This window comes from Homo sapiens, chromosome 2 (genome assembly GCF_000001405.40).
Source record: "Homo sapiens chromosome 2, GRCh38.p14 Primary Assembly".
Lineage (NCBI taxonomy): Eukaryota > Metazoa > Chordata > Mammalia > Primates > Hominidae > Homo > Homo sapiens.
The window spans coordinates 108,638,459-108,657,217 of record NC_000002.12 but is presented as its reverse complement, the minus strand read 5'-3'; the positions used below and the strand labels follow the sequence as shown (position 1 = coordinate 108,657,217).

Sequence of the window (18,759 nt, the reverse complement as noted above, 5' to 3'; positions counted from 1 at the left end):
CAGAAAAGTCCTCTTTTCCAACTACATCTCTGTGGGAGGCCATGTTTTCTTCATATATTTCATCTAAAACAATAGACTGTAATAGGTTGAATGCAGAAACAAATCTGAGAAACTTTTATTAACAAGATTTGCAAAAATGTAACGCAATGCCATCCTTTCCTCTAAGCCTCTTCCATTTTGGAAAACAGTTATTTTTCATGACAACATTAATATTAACATTTACTATTATTAACACGTAATAAGCTTAGTGTTGTTTTTAAATGAATTAATAAGTATTTTAAATTGTTCCCAGTTTCAATTTCTCATATGGTAAATACTGATAAATGAAAGTCCTTTGGGAACCTTAATAGTTTTTAAGAGTGTTAAGAGGCCCTTAGATTAAAACGTTTGATTATCACTGACCAGTTTAAACTCATTATAATATAGATTGTTTCTACTTAAGTTCAAATACTCAAGTAGAATTAGGAAATAGGTAGATACATCATAAAAACAAGCACACAGTTACTTCCCACACACAGGAAAAATCCGCTAGTTTTAGAGGTAATATAATATATATTTTGCAAGAAGTATTCCTTTTCATCACAAGCAGGGGGAAAAAGGAAACAGAACAATCACCTTGCTGCCCCCTGAACCAGTCAGGCTTCCCTTTCCTCTTTTGCCTTTGACCCTCTGGCACAATGCCTGTTGTTTTTTTTTTTAAATGTTGATTTTATATTTAATACTACAGATGACAGAAATTACTTTAAAAAAGTCATTAGTGACAGTTATAGCTACCATCAGATTAGTTATAATTAATTAGCTAATTTTTCAGAAAAAGATTTTCAGTAAAAAGTGTTGATGACAAGAAATATGTAAGTGGGGGAGTATCTATCTATCTATCTATCTATCTATCTATCTATAGATAGATAGATAGATATTTATATGTAAAAGTCAGGACAGGCATGACTGATGAAGCTGATCTACTTCCACAAATCAACCTCACACAGCACAACTGATATCTTGCTTTCCATTATTCAAGTATGCAAAACAAATTGTTTGGTCCTAAAATGCAGCAATGTATAAATCCAAAAATCTTCTTGAGAGTTCACCAAGCAGTCAAAATATTGGTTACTGTATTATTACAATTCCCCAGTTACTGTCAAACAGAGCTCTCTGTGAGTTGTGAAGATAAGTGACATCTGTACCACAGAGCACGGATTATGGAAGTAGAGAACCGGGTCAGTTAAATTCTCATTAACTCTTACTTGACAAATTTGGGATACGCAGTAATTCTAAGCTCACAACTTTGAATGAGGTCAATAATCTTGAGCTGGTCTGATGGCTACTCTGCATTTTCTTAAAAAAATGTGTTTGCTAAAACCTATTTAATAATATAAATTAGCCTAGCTTTTTAGAGTTAACAGTATGTTCTATATGTGTATTGAGCTGCTACTTATACGATATATATATTTATTCATTCAATTAAGAAACCCAGTTAGCTTACTTCAAATTGTTGATTATTACACAAAACAAAAATATTTATCTTTACCAACAGTCTGTAATTTGTTTTTTTCACTGTCCCAACCCATCTGCCCCTTATCTTTGGGCCGTTTTAGACTGCAGAATTTTTCTAACGTAATTACTGACAATGACAACACTAAGCCTCCCTTGCGGACGACATGATGAAAATGCAGTTAGTTACCAAGTGATCAGGAACCTACTAAAGACGGGGCCGCCATGCTCTCACAGTGAGGGCAGCACCTCCCTCCCATCTGCGTGTCGCTGCATGTCTTACCGACAAGGCAGTCTCCTGTCTCCCTAAACATGCTGCGCTGCGAGCCCCTCGGAGCCCTACCACCCTGGAAAACTCCCACCCAAAGTCCAGTCAATAAAATTGTATGGGCCAGCTCAGGATGGCTCCTGAACAGACAGCCAAGAACGCTGGACCTGGAAGAGGGCACTCCAGGAGAGGAGACACTCACAATTTCGCATAAAAGTCACAGAACTCCTTGTAGACTTTCACGTCACTGTGCCTGCGCTGCAGTTTGGAAACAGCCCTCTCGTCCTCGGTCCCATTGGCCTCGTGGACAGTGTTAAGGGCTGCTCGGGGGATTTCTTCGTTCTCTGGGATAATGCAGGGGCGCGCTCGGCCTGAGAAGGCCATCGTGGGTGCTTGAGAGCTCTGAGCACAGGGACGAGAATGGCAGGACACAGAGCCAGGAGAAACAATATCCAGGCCTCCCTGCTTCCCAGCCAGGGTCACTCCCACTGTTCCCACGCACGTCAGCCTGGCCCGCCAGGGTCACTACTGCTGCTTCATGTTAAGAGCTCAGCAGCACAGTACACAGTTACATGGCAGTCAGGATTTACTGAGGCATTCTGGAAGTTCTAAAATAACATTCCACAAAGTAGTGACACAGTCTTTGTCAGAGCGGCAGTCCCAGTGGACTATGCTATAAACACTGCACCAGGAGACCGGGGCTACCTTGTAAGCCTCCAAGAGAAAGAAATATCCACACGTGCCTTGCATATTTGCCACAAGACTTCATCAACAATGCCGTGCTTTTCACTCTGGAGGGCATAAGAGGCTTTTGGAGACCTTGTAAAACATCCCCTGACAAGCTCTCCCTGAGGCTGAGGCTGCTGGCACACTCTGAGGAGCATTTGAACCCTGCCTGGACCTGGGCTTCCACAACCCTGGCCATGACTGCCAGCTATGCCTGATGGGTCCCTTCCCCAGGAGGCCATGAGCCCCTAAAACTAAGAGCTATGTTTGACTTCTATCACCTTTGCTACTGGTACATAGTCACAAATGTACTCAGTCCAATCTCAGCTTCAATGAATGGGCACAAGTGGAAACAGACAAGGGCCAGTGTTTAGTTATAACTCTTCTACTGGACTCCAGCTAACCTCAAAGCTTAGGTGAGCCGATGTTTCTCAGTCTCTATCATGACTAAGGAAACTGTTACATACTTTGGCATTCTTGCTATATTCAGTTCACACTCCTGTCTCCTGTGATTGAGTTAGCAATGCGAAAGGAAACTAAATCACTAAGCCAAGGAAAAAGTCAAGCTGGAAACTACGTCAGGCAAACTTGCCTCCTGTTTTATTGCTAAATAAGATAGCTACAAAGATAACAACCTACATCCCTCCCTCACCATTTGCCCGCGAGAAAACTCCTTATGGAAAAAGGACAGACACAAACTCAAAGTCATCCCTTTGAGGCTCACTTGAGACAAATGCATAACTGATTGCTTCCTCTGCCCTATTGTTCACGTAAAAATGTAGGTTCACTGAGCCAGACACAATTGTGTATTCATCGGAAGGCTGATCAAGGACTCAAAAGACTGCAACTTTTTGTCTCTTATCTACTTCTGGCCTGGAAACCCCCTACTTCGAATTGTTCCACCTTACTGGACTGAACCAATGTACATCTTACATATATTGATTGATGTCTCATGTCTCCCTGAAATGTATAAAAGCAAGCTGTACCCCGACCACCCCGGGGCGCATGTTGTCAGGACCTCCTGAGGCTGTGTCATGGGTGCGTCATTAACTTTGGCAAAATACATGTTCTAAATTGAGTAAGACTTGTCTCATATACTTTTTGGCTTACAGCAATGATGACAATCATGATGTAGCACTAGAGACAACTAAAGGGCTCAGAATCTTTCTCACGTCCCCATCCTCTCAGGGCAGTGTGCCACCCACCAAAACCAAGAGACTGTGAAATAAAATCTACAGAACAGGCGCAAGGCACACTGATGGACAGTCACGGAACCAGCAGCGACAAACAAAATGCAGCCAGAGACACCAAGTAACAACCATAAATAATGATATCCAAGAGTCAGTGAGTGCTTCCTATCACATCCCTTAATCCTTCCCACGGCTTCTGAGATAGGTGTTAGTTACAAATGAAGAAACTGAGGCACAAAGAGACTGAATAACTACTAAGGAGGTGGTGGAGTCAAGATTTAAACCTAGGCACTCTGAGTCCAGAGCCTATGTTGTTAATCCCTATGTGAGAAAATGTTAAACATAATTACTGGGAAGCACAATGGTTAGCCAGAAAAGATGAGGGAGTGGGTACCAGATAGGACTGGAAGCAGGGGACCAAGTCTTTCTACTTTGAACCCTAAAAATCTCAGAGGATAGGTCAAGAACTCAAAGGCTGTGGGCTACAGATCCTGCCCAGGCCCAAAGCCTATGGCTCATGAAACAAGGGAACCACCATATTTAAATAAGAAAGGAACAACCTCATGGTTTAAAATTTTTCCTTTCAATTTATCTATATTTCCTAATTTTTTAGGTTTTTTTTTTACAATGACCATGTGAAACAGTGAGGAGGCAGGGAGGGAGGGGAAGAAAGAGACAGACAGACAGATGGATGGGGACAGAGGCAGGCTGACTCAGACCAGAAATTTAATGCATCCGGTGGGGGTGGCATGGTAGGAGGCAGGAAGCCACGTGAGCCTTCTGCTCAGAATTCTCCCTCACAGTCTCCCCAGTGCTCACATCTTACGTGACTACAGTACAGGAGCAAAACCAGGAACCTGACATTGCAACAATGCATGTGTGCGGGTGTCTGTCATTTCATCACATGGGCAGCTTCCTGTAACATCAGCCTCTATCAAGTTACAGGACTATTCCATCACCACAGACTTCTCTTTCATGTTATCTCTGACCATCACATACCTCTGCACACTCCAACACTCCTAACCTCTGGCAACCACTCATGTGTTTTTCATTTATATGATTCTGTTATTTAAAGAATGTTACCAAATGGAATCGTTCATGTGACATCTTAAGGCTTTTCATTCAGCACAATGCCCTGAGATCAATCCAAGTTGCTCCACATGTCCAGTTTGCTCTTGTTTACTGCCACGTAGTATTCCATGACATGGATGCATAGTTTGTTTCACTGTTCACCCGCTGAAGGGCATTTAAGTACTTTCCTTCCAATTTGTGGCACTGTGAATGAAACTATAGAAATTTCTGTATTGAATATATTTTTATTTCTCTGGGATAAATGCCCAACAGTAAAATTGCTGAGTTGTATGGTAAGTGAATGCTTAGGTTTTAAAGAAACTGCCTGTCATATTGTGACTTTTAATAATAAATCTATTCTTGGTCTCCGCCCCCATTTCCTGGCACAGGACTCCTAAAACTCTTGGACTCTCTGAAGTGGTAAGTGTCTTTTGTAGGCTAATGTGACAGGTGTGGGGGTGGCTGCTGGAGAATCAACCATGCAATAAGAAGGCTGCAACTTTCAGCTCCAGCCCCAACCCCTTGGAAGGGAGAGGAGTTGTGGTCAATGATCAAATCAATCATGCCTATGAAAAGAAGCCTCCATAAAAACTCAATAGGACAGTTTAGGGGAACTTCTGGGTTGCTGAACATATGGAGGTGCTGGGAGGGTGGCGCTCCCAGAGGAGAGAAGCTCTGCTCTGTTTCCCCACACCTTGCCCCATTATCTCTTCCATCTGGCTGTTCTTAACTCAAGTTATGCTATGTAAAGATTACTACGGGGAAGCAGATAGAGATCTTTCCTTTTATCTGGTTTCCTCTACTTACATCTGTGACTATTTTAATGAGGGTGGTTGGCACACAGTAACCCTAAATAGAACTCTTCAATAGAGGTCACCTTAACATGACCTGGTTTTATGATCAAAGGTACCATATACTATGAAGATATTTTTAAACTGTTTAATCAATCAATGTAACATTTTATATGAATGTAAAACAGGTTTGTGGCTCTGTTCCTTTGTTTACAATTTTGCTAGATCTCATTCTCTCCTCTTGGCCTTTCTTTCAATCAGGAATATCCTACTGGGAGTTGGGAGGGAAAAGAGAAGCTGACGTTCTGAACGAAGAAAAGATGCAGCAAGAAAGCTAGATTGTCTTCTATCACACTCTATAGATCACCTTCCCATTAGCCTCTCCCTAGGAACTGATGACCCAACCAGTTGATTCTCAGCATAAATAATACAAGGCAAAGAAATTCTCTGCACATTACCCAAGCTACTTACACTGAAACGACAAAGGAACTAATGTGGGGGTTAAAGACAAGCAGGAGGCTCAGACATGTCCTCCACTGCAATGGTGGGAGTAAACAGGCCCCGGGGTTTCAGGAGCTGGTGACAGCACTGATGGGCTGCCCTTCCTTTAGCAGCCCATTTTGGCATTCTGGTAAAGTCTACTTCTTCTAGAAAAATAGTTGCTCGCATTATTCCATTGTTGGCTTTACATCATTCCTGGACATATGGAACTTTTACTATGAGCCCATGATGCAATAGGCCCAATGTGGTGCCTAAGAAGTATCCAGCCCACCATCAGTAGAAGATACTACAATCTGCTGAATGAATGAATGAATGAATAAATAAATAAAAGTCATAGCCTCTGCTTCTATGACTATACAGTACATAGTTTGGTGCCCAGTGCTGAGTGAACAAGGTTGTTTGTATGTCGTGAATAAGGATCTGTAACAGTGTGGCCATGGAATGTTTAGGTGGTGGTCAGGTGCAGTGGCTCACGCCTGTAATCCCTGCACTTTGGGAGGCCGAGGCGGGTGGATCACCTGAGGTCAGGAGTTTGAGATTTGGCCAGGAGCCTGGCCAACATGATGAAACCCTGTCTCTACTAAAAACACAAAACATTAGCTGGCGTGGTGGTGGGCACGTGTAATCCCAGCTGCTCAGGAGGCTGAGGCAGGAGAATCGCCTGAACCTAGGAGGCAGAGGCTGCAGTGAGCCGAGATTGTGCAACTGCACTCAAGCCTGGGCAACAAGAGCAAAACTCCGTCTCGAAAGAAAAAAAAAAAAAAAAGAAAAGAAAAGAAAGTTTAGGCGGCACACAATTCTCCCAAAAAGACTACCTGCAGTCACTTATCTTATTTAGCTACAACAGAGTAAAGCTAAAAGAAATATGTTATTTTTTCAAGAGGACAAGGGAGTGGTTTAATTCCGAATAAACACCATAGCTCAACTTTTATATTCAGGCATTTTGATACTGTTAAATCATTTTCAGGAATTAATAATGTCACTCTAAGAAATGCAAACAAATTTGACTGAAACTACTACTGCCACGGCAGTGGCATCAGAATAGCCATTGAAGTAGGGTGGGAGGCTGTTGTTTGAAAATACCAAAAAAGTCAGATTCGTCTGAATAGCAGGTCTGCTAGGTGGCTTTTGGTGAAGAATTAGGATTGTGCGAGGTCCTCAATTCCCTAAGGGCGTTTTTCTTTTTTTTACTGTTGAAAGTATTTATTTTATTATACTTCAAGTTCGAGGTAGGTACATGTGCAGAACGTGCAGGTTTGTTACATAGGTATACATGTGCCATGGTGGTTTGCTGCACCCATCAACCTGTCATCTACATTAGGTATTTCTTCTAATGCTATCCCTCCCCTATCCCCCACCCACCGACAGGCCCCGGTGTGTGATGTTCCCTTCCCTGTGTCCATGTGTTCTCACTGTTCAACTCCCACTTATGAGAACATGCAGTGTTTGGTTTTTTGTTCTCGTGTTAGTTTGCTGAGAATGATGGTTTCCAGCATCATCCATGTCCCTGCAAAGGACATGAACTCATCCTTTTTTATGGCTGCATAATATCCTATGGTGTATATATGCTACATTTTCTTTATCCAGTCTATGATTGATAGGCATCTGGTGTGGTTCCAAGTCTTTGCTATTGTGAACAGTGTTGCAACAAACATACATGTGCATGTGTCTTTATAGAATGATTTATAATCCTTTGGGTATATACCCAGTAATGGGATTGCTGGGTCAAATGGTATTTCTAGTTCTAGATCCTTGAGGAATCGGCACACTGTCTTCCACAATGGTTGAACTAATATACACTCCCACCAACAGTGTAAAAGTGTTCCTATTTCTCCACATCCACTCCAGCATCTGTTGTTTCCTGACTTTTTAATGATCACTATTCTAACTGGTGTGAGATGGTATCTCATTGTGGTTTTGATTTGCATTTCTCTAATGATCAGTGATGATGAGCTGTTTTTCATGTCTGTTGGCTGCATAAATATCTTCTTTTGAGAAGTGTCTGTTCATATCCTTTGCCCACTTTTTGATGGGGTTTTTTTCTTGTAAATTTGTTTTAGTTCTTTATAGATTCTGGATATTAGCCCTTTGTCAGATGAGTAGATTGCAAAAATTTTCTCCCATTCTGTAGGTTGTCTGTTCACTCTGATGATTGTTTCTTCTGCTATGCAGAAGCTCTTTAGTTTAGTCAGATCCTGTTTGTCAGTTTTGGCTTTTGCTGCCATTGCTGTTGGTGTTTTAGACATGAAGTCCTTGCCCATGCCTATGTCCTGAATGGTATTGCCTAGGTTTTCTTCTAGGGTTTTCATGGTTTTATGTCTTACATTTAAATCTTTAATCCATCTTCAGTTAATTTTTGTATAAGGTGTAAGGAAGGGATCTAGTTTCAGCTTTCTGCATATGGCTAGCCAGTTTTCCCAACACCATTTATTAAATAGGGAAACCTTTCCCCATTGCTTGTTTTTGTCAGGTTTGTCAAAGATCAGATGGTTGTAGATGTGTGGCGTTATTTCTGAGGCTTCTGTTCTGTTCCATTGGTTTATATATCTGTTTTGGTATAAGTACCATGCTGTTTTTGTAGTAACAAAACAGCCTTGTAGTAACAAAGTAGACTTGTAGTATACTTTGAAGTCAGGTAGCGTGATGCCTCCAGCTTTGTTCTTTTTGGTTAGGAATGTCTTGGCTATGCAGGCTCTTTTTTGGTTCCATGTGAAATTCAAAGTAGTTTTTTCCAATTCTGTGAAGAAAGTCAATAGTAGCTTGATGGGGACAGCATTGAATCTATAAATTACTTTGGGCAGTATAGCCCAAAATTGATTCTTCCTATCCATGAGCATGGAATATTTTTCCATTTGTTTGTGTCCTCTCTTATTTCCTTGAGCAGTGGTTTGTAGTTCTCCTTGAAGAGGTCCTTCACATCCCTTGTAAGTTGTATTCCTAGGTATTTTATTCTCTTAGTAACAACTGTGAATGGGAGTTTACTCATGATTTGGCTCTCCGTTTGTCTGTTATTGGTGTATAGGAATGCCTGTGATTTTTGCACATTGATTTTGTATCTGGAGAATTTGCTGAATTTGCTTATCAGCTTAAGGAGATTCTGGGCTGACACGATGGGGTTTTCTAAACATACAATCATGTCATCTGCAAATAGAGACAATTTGACTTGCTCTTTTCCTAACTGAATACCCTTTATTTATTTCTCTTGCCTGATTGCCCTGGCCAGAACTTCTAATACTATGTTGAATAGGAGTGGTAAGAGAGGGCATCCTTGTCTTGTGCTGGTTTTTTAAAGGGATTGCTTCCAGTTTTTGCCCATTCAGTATGCTATTGGCTGTGGGTTTGCCATAAATAGCTCTTATTATTTTGAGATACATTCCATCAATGCCTAGTTTATTGAGAGTTTTTAGTATGAAGCACTGTTGAATTTTGTCGAGGCCTTTTGTGCATCTATTGAGATAATCATGTGGTTTTTGTCATTGGTTCTGTTTATGTGATGGATTACGTTTATTGATTTGCGTATGTTGAATGAACCTTGTATCCCAGGGATGAAGCTGACTTGACTGAAGTGGATAAGCTTTTTGATATGCTGCTGGATTCCGTTTGCTAGTATTTTATTGAGGATTTTCGCATTGATGTTCATCAGGGATATTGGCCTGAAATTTTCTTTTTTTGTTGTGTCTCTGCCAGGTTTTGGTATCAGGATGATGCTGGCCTCATAAAATGAGTTAGGGAGGAGTCCCTTTTTTCTATTGTTTGGAATAGTTTCAGAAGGAATGGTACCAGCTCCTCTTTGTACCTCTGGTAGAATTCAGCTGTGAATCCATCCAGTCCTGGACTTTTTTTGGTTGGTAGGCTATTACTTGCTGCCTCAATTTCAGAACTTGTTATTGGTCTATTCAGGGATTTGACTTCTTCTTGGTTTAGTCTTGGGAGGGTGTACATGTCCAGCGATTTATCCATTTCTTCTAGATTTTCTGGTTTATTTGTGCAGAGGTGTTTACAGTATTCGCTGATGGTAGTTTGTATTTTTGTGGGATCAGTGGTGATATCCCCTTTATCATTTTTTATTGCATCTATTTGATTCTTCTCTCTTTTCTTCTTTATTATTCTCACTAGTGGTCTATCTATTTTGTTGATCTTTTCAAAAAACCAGCTCCTGGGCCGGGCGCGGTGACTCATGCCTGTAATCCCAGCACTTTGGGAGGCCGAGGCGGGCGGATCACGAGATCAGGAGATCGAGACCATCCTGGCTAACGCGGTGAAACCCTGTCTCTACTAAAAATACAAAAAATTAGCCGGGTGTGTTGGCAGGCGCCTGTAGTCCCAGCTACTCATAGTCCCAGCTATTCGGGAGGCTGAGGCAGGAGAATGGCATGAACTCGGGAGGCGGAGCTTGCAGTGAGCCGAGATCGCACCACTGCACTCCAGCCTGGCGACAGAGCCAGACTCCGTCTCAAAACAAAACAAAATAAAACAAAACAAAACCCCAGCTCCTGGATTCATTTATTTTTTAAAGGGTTTTTCGTGTATCTATCTCCTTTTCTGCTCTGATCTTAGTTACTTCTTGTCTTCTGCTAGCTTTTGAATTTGTTTGCTCTTGCTTCTCCAGTTCTTTTAATTGTGATGTTAGGGTGTCGATTTTAGATCTTTCCTGCTTTCTCTTGTGGGCATTTAGTGCTATAAATTTCCCTCTACACACTGCTTTAAATGTGTCCCAGAGATTCTGGTACGTTGTGTCTTTGTTCTCATTGGTTTCAAATAACATCTTTATTTTTGCCCTCATTTCGTTATTTACCCAGTAGTCATTCAGGAGCAGGTTGTTCAGTTTCAACATAGTTGTGTGGTTTTGAGTGAGTTTCTTAGTCCTGAGTTCTACTTTGATTGCACTGTGGTCTGAGAGACCATTATGATTTCCATTTTTTTGCATTTGCTGAGGAGTGTTTTACTTCCAATTATGTGATCAATTTTAGAATAAGTGCTATGTGGTGCTGAGAAGAGTGTATATTCTGCTGATTTGTGGTGAAGAGTTCTATTAGGCCCGCTTGGTCCAGAGCTAAGTTCAAGTCCTGGATATCCTTGTTAACTTTCTGTCTCATTGATCTAATATTGACAGTGGGGTGTTAAAGTCTCCCACTATTATTGTGTGGGAGTCTAAGTCTCTTTGTAGGTCTCTAAGAACATGCGTTATGAATCTGGGTGCTCCTGTATTGGGTGCATATATATTTAGGATAGTTAGCTCTTCTTGTTGCACTGATCCCTCTACCATTATGTAATGCCCTTCTTTGTCTCTTGATCTTTGTAGTTTAAAGGCTGTTTTATCAGAGACTAGGATTGCAACTCCTGGGTTTTTTTTTTTTTTGCTTTCCATTTGCTTGGTAAATTTTCCTCCATCCTTTTATTTTGAGCCTATGTGTGTCTCTCCACGTGGGATGGGTCTCCTGAATACAGCACACTGATGGGTCTTGACTCTTCATCCAATTTGCCAGTCTGTGTCTTTTAATTGGGGCATTTAGCCCGTTTACATTTAAGGTTAATATTGTTATGTGTGAATTTCATCCTGCCAATATGATGCTAGCTGTTATTTTGGCCCGTTAGTTGATGCAGTTTCTTCACAGCATTGATAGTCTTTACAATTTGGTAAGTTTTTGCAGTGGCTCGTACCGGTTGTTCCTTTCCATGTTTAGTGCTTCCTTCAGGAGTTCTTGTAAGGCAGGCCTGGTGGTGACAAACTGTCTCAGCATTTCCTTGTCTGTGACGGATTTTATTTCTCCTTCGCTTATGAAGCTTTGTTTGGCTGGATATGAAATTCTGGATTGAAAATTCTTTCCTTTAAGAATTTTGAATATTGGCCCCCACTCTCTTCTGGCTTGTAGGGTTTCTGCCGAGATCCGCTGTTAGTCTGATGGGCTTCCCTTTATGGGTAACCCAACCTTTCTCTCTGGTTGCCCTTAACATTTTTTCCTTCATTTCAACCTTGGTGATCTGAAAATTATGTGTCCTGGCGTTGCTTTTCTCAAGGAGTATCTTTCTGGTGTCCCATTTCCTTAATTTGAATGTTGGCCTGCCTTGCTAGGTTGGGGAAGTTCTCCTAGATAATATCCTGAGGAATGTTTTCCAACTTGGTTCCATTCTCCCCGTCACTTTCAGGTATACCAATCAAACAAAGATCTGGTCTTTTCACATAGTCCCATATTTCTTGGAGGCTTTGTTCATTTCTTTTCACTTTTTTCCCTCTAATCTTGTCTTCACGCTTTATTTCATTGAGTTGATCTTCAATCTCTGATATCCTTTCTTCTGCTTGATCGACTTGGCTGTTGATACTTGTGTGTGCTTCATGAAGTTCTTGTACTGTGTTTTTCAGCTCCATCAGACCATTTATGTTCTTCTCTAAACTGGTTATTCTAGTTAGCAATTCATCTAACCTTTTTTCAGCGTTCTTAACTTCCTTGCATTGGGTTAGCACATGTTCCTTTAGCTCGGAGGAGTTTGTTATTACCTACCTTCTGAAGCCTACTCCTGTCACATTCGTCAAACTCATTCTCCTTCCAGTTTTGCTCCCTTGCTGGCAAGGAGTTGTGATCCTTTGGAGGAGAAGAGGTGTTCTGGTTTTTGGAATTTTCAGCCTTTTTGTGCTGGTTTCTCCCCATCTTCGTGGATTTATGTACCTTTGGTCTTTGAAGTTGGTGACCTTCGGATGGGGTCTCTGAGTGGACGTCATTTTTGTTGATGTTGATGCTATGCCTTTCTGTTTGTTAGTTTTCCTTCTAACAGTCAGGCCCCTCTGCTGCAGGTCTGCTGGAGTTTGCTGGAGGTCCGCTCCAGACCCTGTTTGCCTGGGTATCACTGGCGGGGGCTGCAGGCTGTTGTTCCTTCCTCTGGATGCCTCATTCCAGAGGGGCACCCACCAGATGCCAGCCAGAGCTCTCCTGTATGAGGTATCTGTTGGCCCCTACTAGGAGGTGTCTCCCAGTTAGGATACATGGGGGTCAGGGACCCACTTGAGGAGGCAGGCTGTCCCTTATCAGAGCTTGAACGCTGTGCTGGGAGATCTGCTGCTCTCTTCAGAGCTGCCAGTTAGGGACAGCTGAAGCTGTGCCCACAACCACCCCTTCCCCTAAGTGCTCTGTCCCGGGAGGTGACGGTTTTATCTGTAAGTCCCTGACTGGGGTTGCTGCCTTTTTTTCAGAGATGCCCTACCCAGAGAGGAGGGAATCTAGAGAGGCAGTCTGAGGGTAGCAACCTTGCTGAAATGCAGTGGGCTCCACCCAGTTCGAATTTCCCAGTGGCTTTGTTTACACTGTGAGGGTAAAACCATCTACTCAAGCCTTAGCAATGGCAGACGCCCCTTCCCCAACCAAGCTGGAGCATCCCAGGTCGAGCTCAGTCTGCTATACTAGCACAAGAATTTCAAGCCAGTGGATCTTAGCTTGTTTGGCTCCGTGGGGGTGGGACCCATCAAGCCAGACCTCTTGGCTCCCTGGCTTCAGCCCTCCTTTCCAGGGGAGTGAATGTTTCTGTCTTGTTGGCATTCCTGGCGCCACTGGGGCACGAAAAAAACTCAAACGCTACCACTGGGGTATGAAAAAAAAAACTGGCTAGCTCGGTGTCTGCCCTAAAGGCCGCCCAGTTTTGTGCTGGAAACCCAGGGCCCTGGTGGTGTAGGCTTCAGAGGGAATCTCCTGGTCTGTGGGTTGCGAAGACCGTGGGAAAAGTGCAACATCTGGGCCGGGGTGCATGGTACAGTCCCTAATGGCTTCCCTTGGCTAGGAGAGGGAGTTCCCCAACCCCTTGCGCTTCCCGGGTGAGGCAACGCCCCACCCTGCTTCGGCTCATCCTCCTTGGGCTGCACCCACTGTCCAACCAGTCCCAATGAGATGAACTGAGTACCTCAGGTGGAAATGCAGAAATCACCTGCCTTCCGCACCAATCTTGCTGGGAGCTGCAGACCGGAGCTGTTCCTATTTGCCATCTTGCCAACAAATCCAGGGCGTTTCTTAAGAGGTTCTATACTCTAATCAGCCCTCATGGCTAAGTTGGGTCTTTGGGAGATCCTACAGGACAGGTCTGAACCCCACATGTTCCTTAAATCCACCCAGAGCAGAGTGATTTCTACTTTATGAAAACAGTTGATGAATTTGTCATTTTCTGATCATCTACTGCGTGTTTCACTTATGGAATGATTGACCTACTGCGGCAAATCTAGGACCCTGGCTGCATGAGTCCAATAGCTTGGTTAAGGGCCCCCACTCACTGCACAGTGATGCAAAGTTGGCACACAGTAGTGTCCTGTAAAGAAGGCTGTAAAGCTTCAGATTCCAACTGTCTGCTAACTTCATGATTTTAGTCAAAACTAACTCCACCTCTGACATAAGCCATGGCCAAATACAAATAAGCTACTTGGAGATATCATGCAAAAAATTATAGCTATTTTCAGCAGCTCAAATAATTAAGGCCTGAATAAAGTCATGAAAATAGCAGCCAACATTTTTTTAAAAAGCAGCTTTTAAAAAACACTAGTAGCGGCCGGGCGCGGTGGCTCACGCCTGTAATCCCTGCACTTTGGGAGGCCGAGGCGGGCGGATCACGAGGTCAGGAGATCGAGACCATCCTGGCTAACACGGTGAAACCCCGTCTCTACGAAAAATACAAAAAATTAGCCGGGCGTGGTAGCGGGCGCCTGTAGTCCCAGCTACTCGGGAGGCTGAGGCAGGAGAATGGCGTGAACCCGGGAGGCGGAGCTTGCAGTGAGCCGAGATCGCGCCACTGCACTCCAGCCTGGGCGACAGAGCGAGACTCCGTCTCAAAAAAAAAAAACAAAAAACAAAAAAAAAAAAAAACAAAAAACACTAGTAGCTTAAAATTACTCCTCTTAAGTAGTAATGATGGACTTATGTACATCATTACCAAATATCTGTAGGATTTAAAAGCCAAACTAGACATTTTAACCAATTGCCTCTAAAATACAGGACTCCAATATAGAAAAAGCGGAGTGCTTAGTAAATGCTTCATTCTATTCCACAAATAGATTTGCATAACTGATGGCTAAACGGAGCACTTGGCAATAACAACTACTAGATGAAGCTTCTCCAACTGCATTCAAAGGCTTCCAGGTCATAATGGGGTATTTGAACTGTTGGGGTGGCCTGGTGAAATTATCATATGCCAAAATGAACTGTTTCTACTATCATCCTCTATCCTGCTCAAATGGAAAATACAATCTAATTTCCCCCAGACTACTAAAAACAAAACAATCATGACATGCAAGTAAAGATAATGAAACTGGGAAGTTCCTTCCCATTTTGTAGCTTCTAGAACAAATGCACTGGATTTTCTTTCAACAGACAGTGAGAAAACAGACAAAGTTTGGCCAGAAAAAGATACGGATTTGTAATTAATATGCCATTTTGCCTTGTCAATTTTTTTTCCTAATTTTTGAATGCACAGGCAAAAAGAAATTATTCATTACCACAGAAGCAAGACAGTGATAAAGAAATAATGTACATTTTCTCAAGCTAGTTTAAAATAAAGAAAATAGCACATTTTTTACATGTTTGTATTAGCATTGCTTATTGGGATTATTATCAAAGTAAGGCAGAGCTACCGTGGCTTTGTTACATATGCTAAAAATAACTGAAGAGTCACTAAAAGATTATCACCTAACAATAATGAAATGAACAAAACAAATTCTCTCCCTATGCACCATCAACCCCATCCCAGGGGCCCAAACCATCCCAAACACTGGAATCAAAGTCCAGAAATTACAATGAGGTTGTAATTGTGAGAAGGCTATTTGCATCTAATTGTCTTCAAGAAACTCCCTCTGAAATGAAACTTAATCTAAAGAGTTAGAGACTCTCTTCGGTGTTGCAGATAGGTTTCTAGCATCCCAAACTTTATGATATCTTAACTGTATTTATTTCCCTTAAAAGGAAAATGAGTGAAATGCCATTATGATATCAGGTTGAAATATTTCTGGAAGAAAACTAGCAGGCACCCATTTAAGTCTTAAAATCATCTAAAATACATCGTTTCAGATGGAATATCATCCAGCCACAAAAAAAGAATTAGATCCTGTCAGTGGTGGCATCATGATGAGCCCGGGGTACATTATGTTAAGTGAAATAAGTCAGGCACAGAAAGACACATGCCAGATGTTCTCACTCATATGTGAAAGCAAAAATACAATTGAACTCACAGAATTAGAACGCAGAGTTGGTTATTAGAGGGTGGGAAGGGTGGCTGGGAGGGGAGAGAGGGAGAGGTTAAGGGACTCAACATTACAGCTGAGTAACAGGAATAGTTCTTGGGTTCCTCAGCACTGTAGGGTGACTAATGTTAACAATAATTTATTGCGCATGTTCAAAAAGCTAGAAGAGGATTGTGAAAGTTCTAAACTCAAGGAAATGATAAATGTTTGAAGTGATGGATATGCTAGTTACCCCGATTTGATCCTTATGCATTACATGCATGCAGCAAAATAACACATGCACCCCATAAATATGTACAATTATTATGTATCAATAAAAAATTCCTCCTCTAGTATCTGAGGGAAAACTATCCTAGTTTTATTCCCAAAGCCCACAGGCAAAAGAGAGTGGCCACTCAGGAGCCCCAGGCAGAGGTGTACTGAGGGACAGCCCAGAGAAGGCAGGAATGGCCCCACGCTCAACCTCAGTGTCCATGGGGTTCTGCAACACAAGGCAGGTCTGAAAGCACTGTGTGGCCTCAGAGACACTGCCCACAACAGGCAGAAAGTACTGCAAATAAATAGGTCAGTTACTCAATCCTAACCAGTTTTAAGTCTTGACGACCTATGTGGTGGCTTGTTTCTTAAGAAGCACCTCTCCCTGGATGATCTCTAGAAAAGTTGCTAACATGAACCAACCAACAAATATCTACCCACAAAGGACTTTGTAAAGGACATGGAGCCTGGGGAAGGGAAAGGAGAAAGACTGAAATCAAGCTCCTCCCAGCACTCTCTCCTTTCTCCATGACACTCCCTGAGTGCCTCAGACACTCTTGTGACGCTCTTACTCCCTGCAACAAGCCATCCTGTCCCTATGATAATGGAGACACTCCCATCACACAGGAAACCCATCATGGAAAGACACGAGACTGGATGGGAAAACAGAATGGGCAGCAAAAAGGTGCAATCATTAAAAGCAGAACACTAACAAATGACTGAACAATGGCAAGCCTCAGTTTCTGTGAGCCCGTGCGCATGGATGTGTAAGTGCTTTGGGATGGGATCACTGAACTGTACTGTTTTGGTTTGGTAAGTTGAATTTGTCAACTTTTATCAGCCCAACAGCAATATAGCTTATTGCAGAAAATGTATGAAAGGCAGAGAAGAATCACGCATATTCCTGCCAACTGGAAACAAGTACTTTAACATTTTGAGCTCTATTCTTTTTAAAATACATGTACACGGCTGGGCACGGTGACTCACGTCTGTAATCCCAGCACTTTGGGAGGCCAAAGTGGGTGAATCATGAGGTTAGGAGTTCAAGATCAGCCTGACCAACATGGTGAAACCCTGTCTCTACTAAAAATACAAAAATTAGCCGGGTGTGGTGGCAGGTGCCTGTAATCCCAGCTACTCAGGAGGCTGAAGCAGGAGAATCACTTGAACCCGGGAGGTGGAGGTTGCAATGAGCTGAGATGGCGCAACTGCGCTCCAGCCTGGGCGATAGAGCGAGACTTAGTCTCAAAAAAACAAAACAAAAACATGTACACATATATGATATATGATCTTAAATAAATGCAGGGTTGTTGCAAGGTGACTTTAGAATTATCTTTAAAAGTGATGATCAACATTTCCAGCACTGGGTGAAACATACAAAGGACATACGATTTTCTGGATGAATACCACTGTCCCTTTTTTTTCTCCTGAACTTTCTGCTTATCAGAAACCTGCCCAGTCCTCAAGTACCTGCTCAAGATCTTCTCCAGGAAGCTTTCTTGACATTCCAGGCCTTATCGATCTTCTGTTCAGCAGCCATAGCACCCACTGTGTGTCCCATGCAGTGAGTGGGTAAGATTTTCATTGGATATAATGTTGTGTTCTGTATCGCAAAGGTGCTCCTCATCTCCTTAAGAACACCAGGAGGCCCTTAAGTAGACATTTTTTTTTTTTTGAGACGGAGTCTCACTCTGTCACCCACGCTGGAGTGCAGTAGCGCGATCCATGCTCACTGCAGGCTCCGCCTCCCGGGTTCACACCATTCTCCTGCCTCAGCCTCCCGAGTAGCTGGGACTACAGGTGCCTATCAACACGCCCGGCTAATTTTTTGTGTTTTTAGTAGAGACGGGGTTTCACCATCTTAGCCAGGATGGTGTTGATCTCCTGACTTCATGATCCACCCGCCTCGGCCTCTCCAAGTGCTGGGATTACAGGCGTGAGCCACCGTGCCCAGCCTGTGCTTAGTTTTCTTGAGACAGAGTCTCACTCTGTTGCCAGGCTGGAGTGCAGTGGTGCAATTTTGACTCACCGCAACCTCGATCTCCTGGGTTCAAGTGATTCTCGTGCCTCAGCCTCCTGAGTAGCTGGAATTACAGGCATGTGCTACCACACCAGGCTAATTTTTGTATTTTTAGTGGTAGAGACGGGGTTTCACCATGTTGGACAGGCTGGTCTCGAACTCCTGACCTCAGGTGATCCGCTCGCCCTGGCCTCCCAAAGTGCTGGGGTTACAGGCGTGAACCACCACGCCCAGCCTCT

General features: G+C 42.8%; 1 protein-coding gene across 16 annotated transcripts in view, besides 2 other annotated features; it reads right to left on the bottom strand.

Moving 5' to 3' along the window:
- Nucleotides 1-18,759, bottom strand: part of LIMS1 (LIM zinc finger domain containing 1) — a 153,576-nt gene that overhangs the window by 30,029 nt on the left and 104,788 nt on the right. For 3 of the 16 annotated variants that reach the window (NM_001371494.1, NM_001193485.3, NM_001371499.1), the window contains exon 1: nt 1,962-2,184. The exons of the other annotated variants lie outside the window; for them this stretch is intronic. In NM_001371494.1, coding sequence (NP_001358423.1) covers nt 1,962-2,143 — 182 coding nt within the window. In that variant the 5' untranslated portion in view covers nt 2,144-2,184. Of the gene's footprint in view, nt 1-1,961; nt 2,185-18,759 lie in introns of those variants that run through there. 16 annotated transcript variants of the gene reach the window in all.
- Nucleotides 1,651-2,265: an enhancer, noted in NCBI's record as "H3K27ac-H3K4me1 hESC enhancer chr2:109271409-109272023 (GRCh37/hg19 assembly coordinates)". NCBI's record gives its function as "activates a minimal SCP1, AML or CMV promoter by ChIP-STARR-seq in naive H9 embryonic stem cells {active_cell/tissue: H9 hESC(naive)}" and the evidence as "EXISTENCE:reporter gene assay evidence [ECO:0000049][PMID:30033119]".
- Nucleotides 4,693-4,742: an enhancer, noted in NCBI's record as "active region_16350". NCBI's record gives its function as "activates an Ori minimal core promoter by ATAC-STARR-seq in GM12878 lymphoblastoid cells {active_cell/tissue: GM12878}" and the evidence as "EXISTENCE:reporter gene assay evidence [ECO:0000049][PMID:35858748]".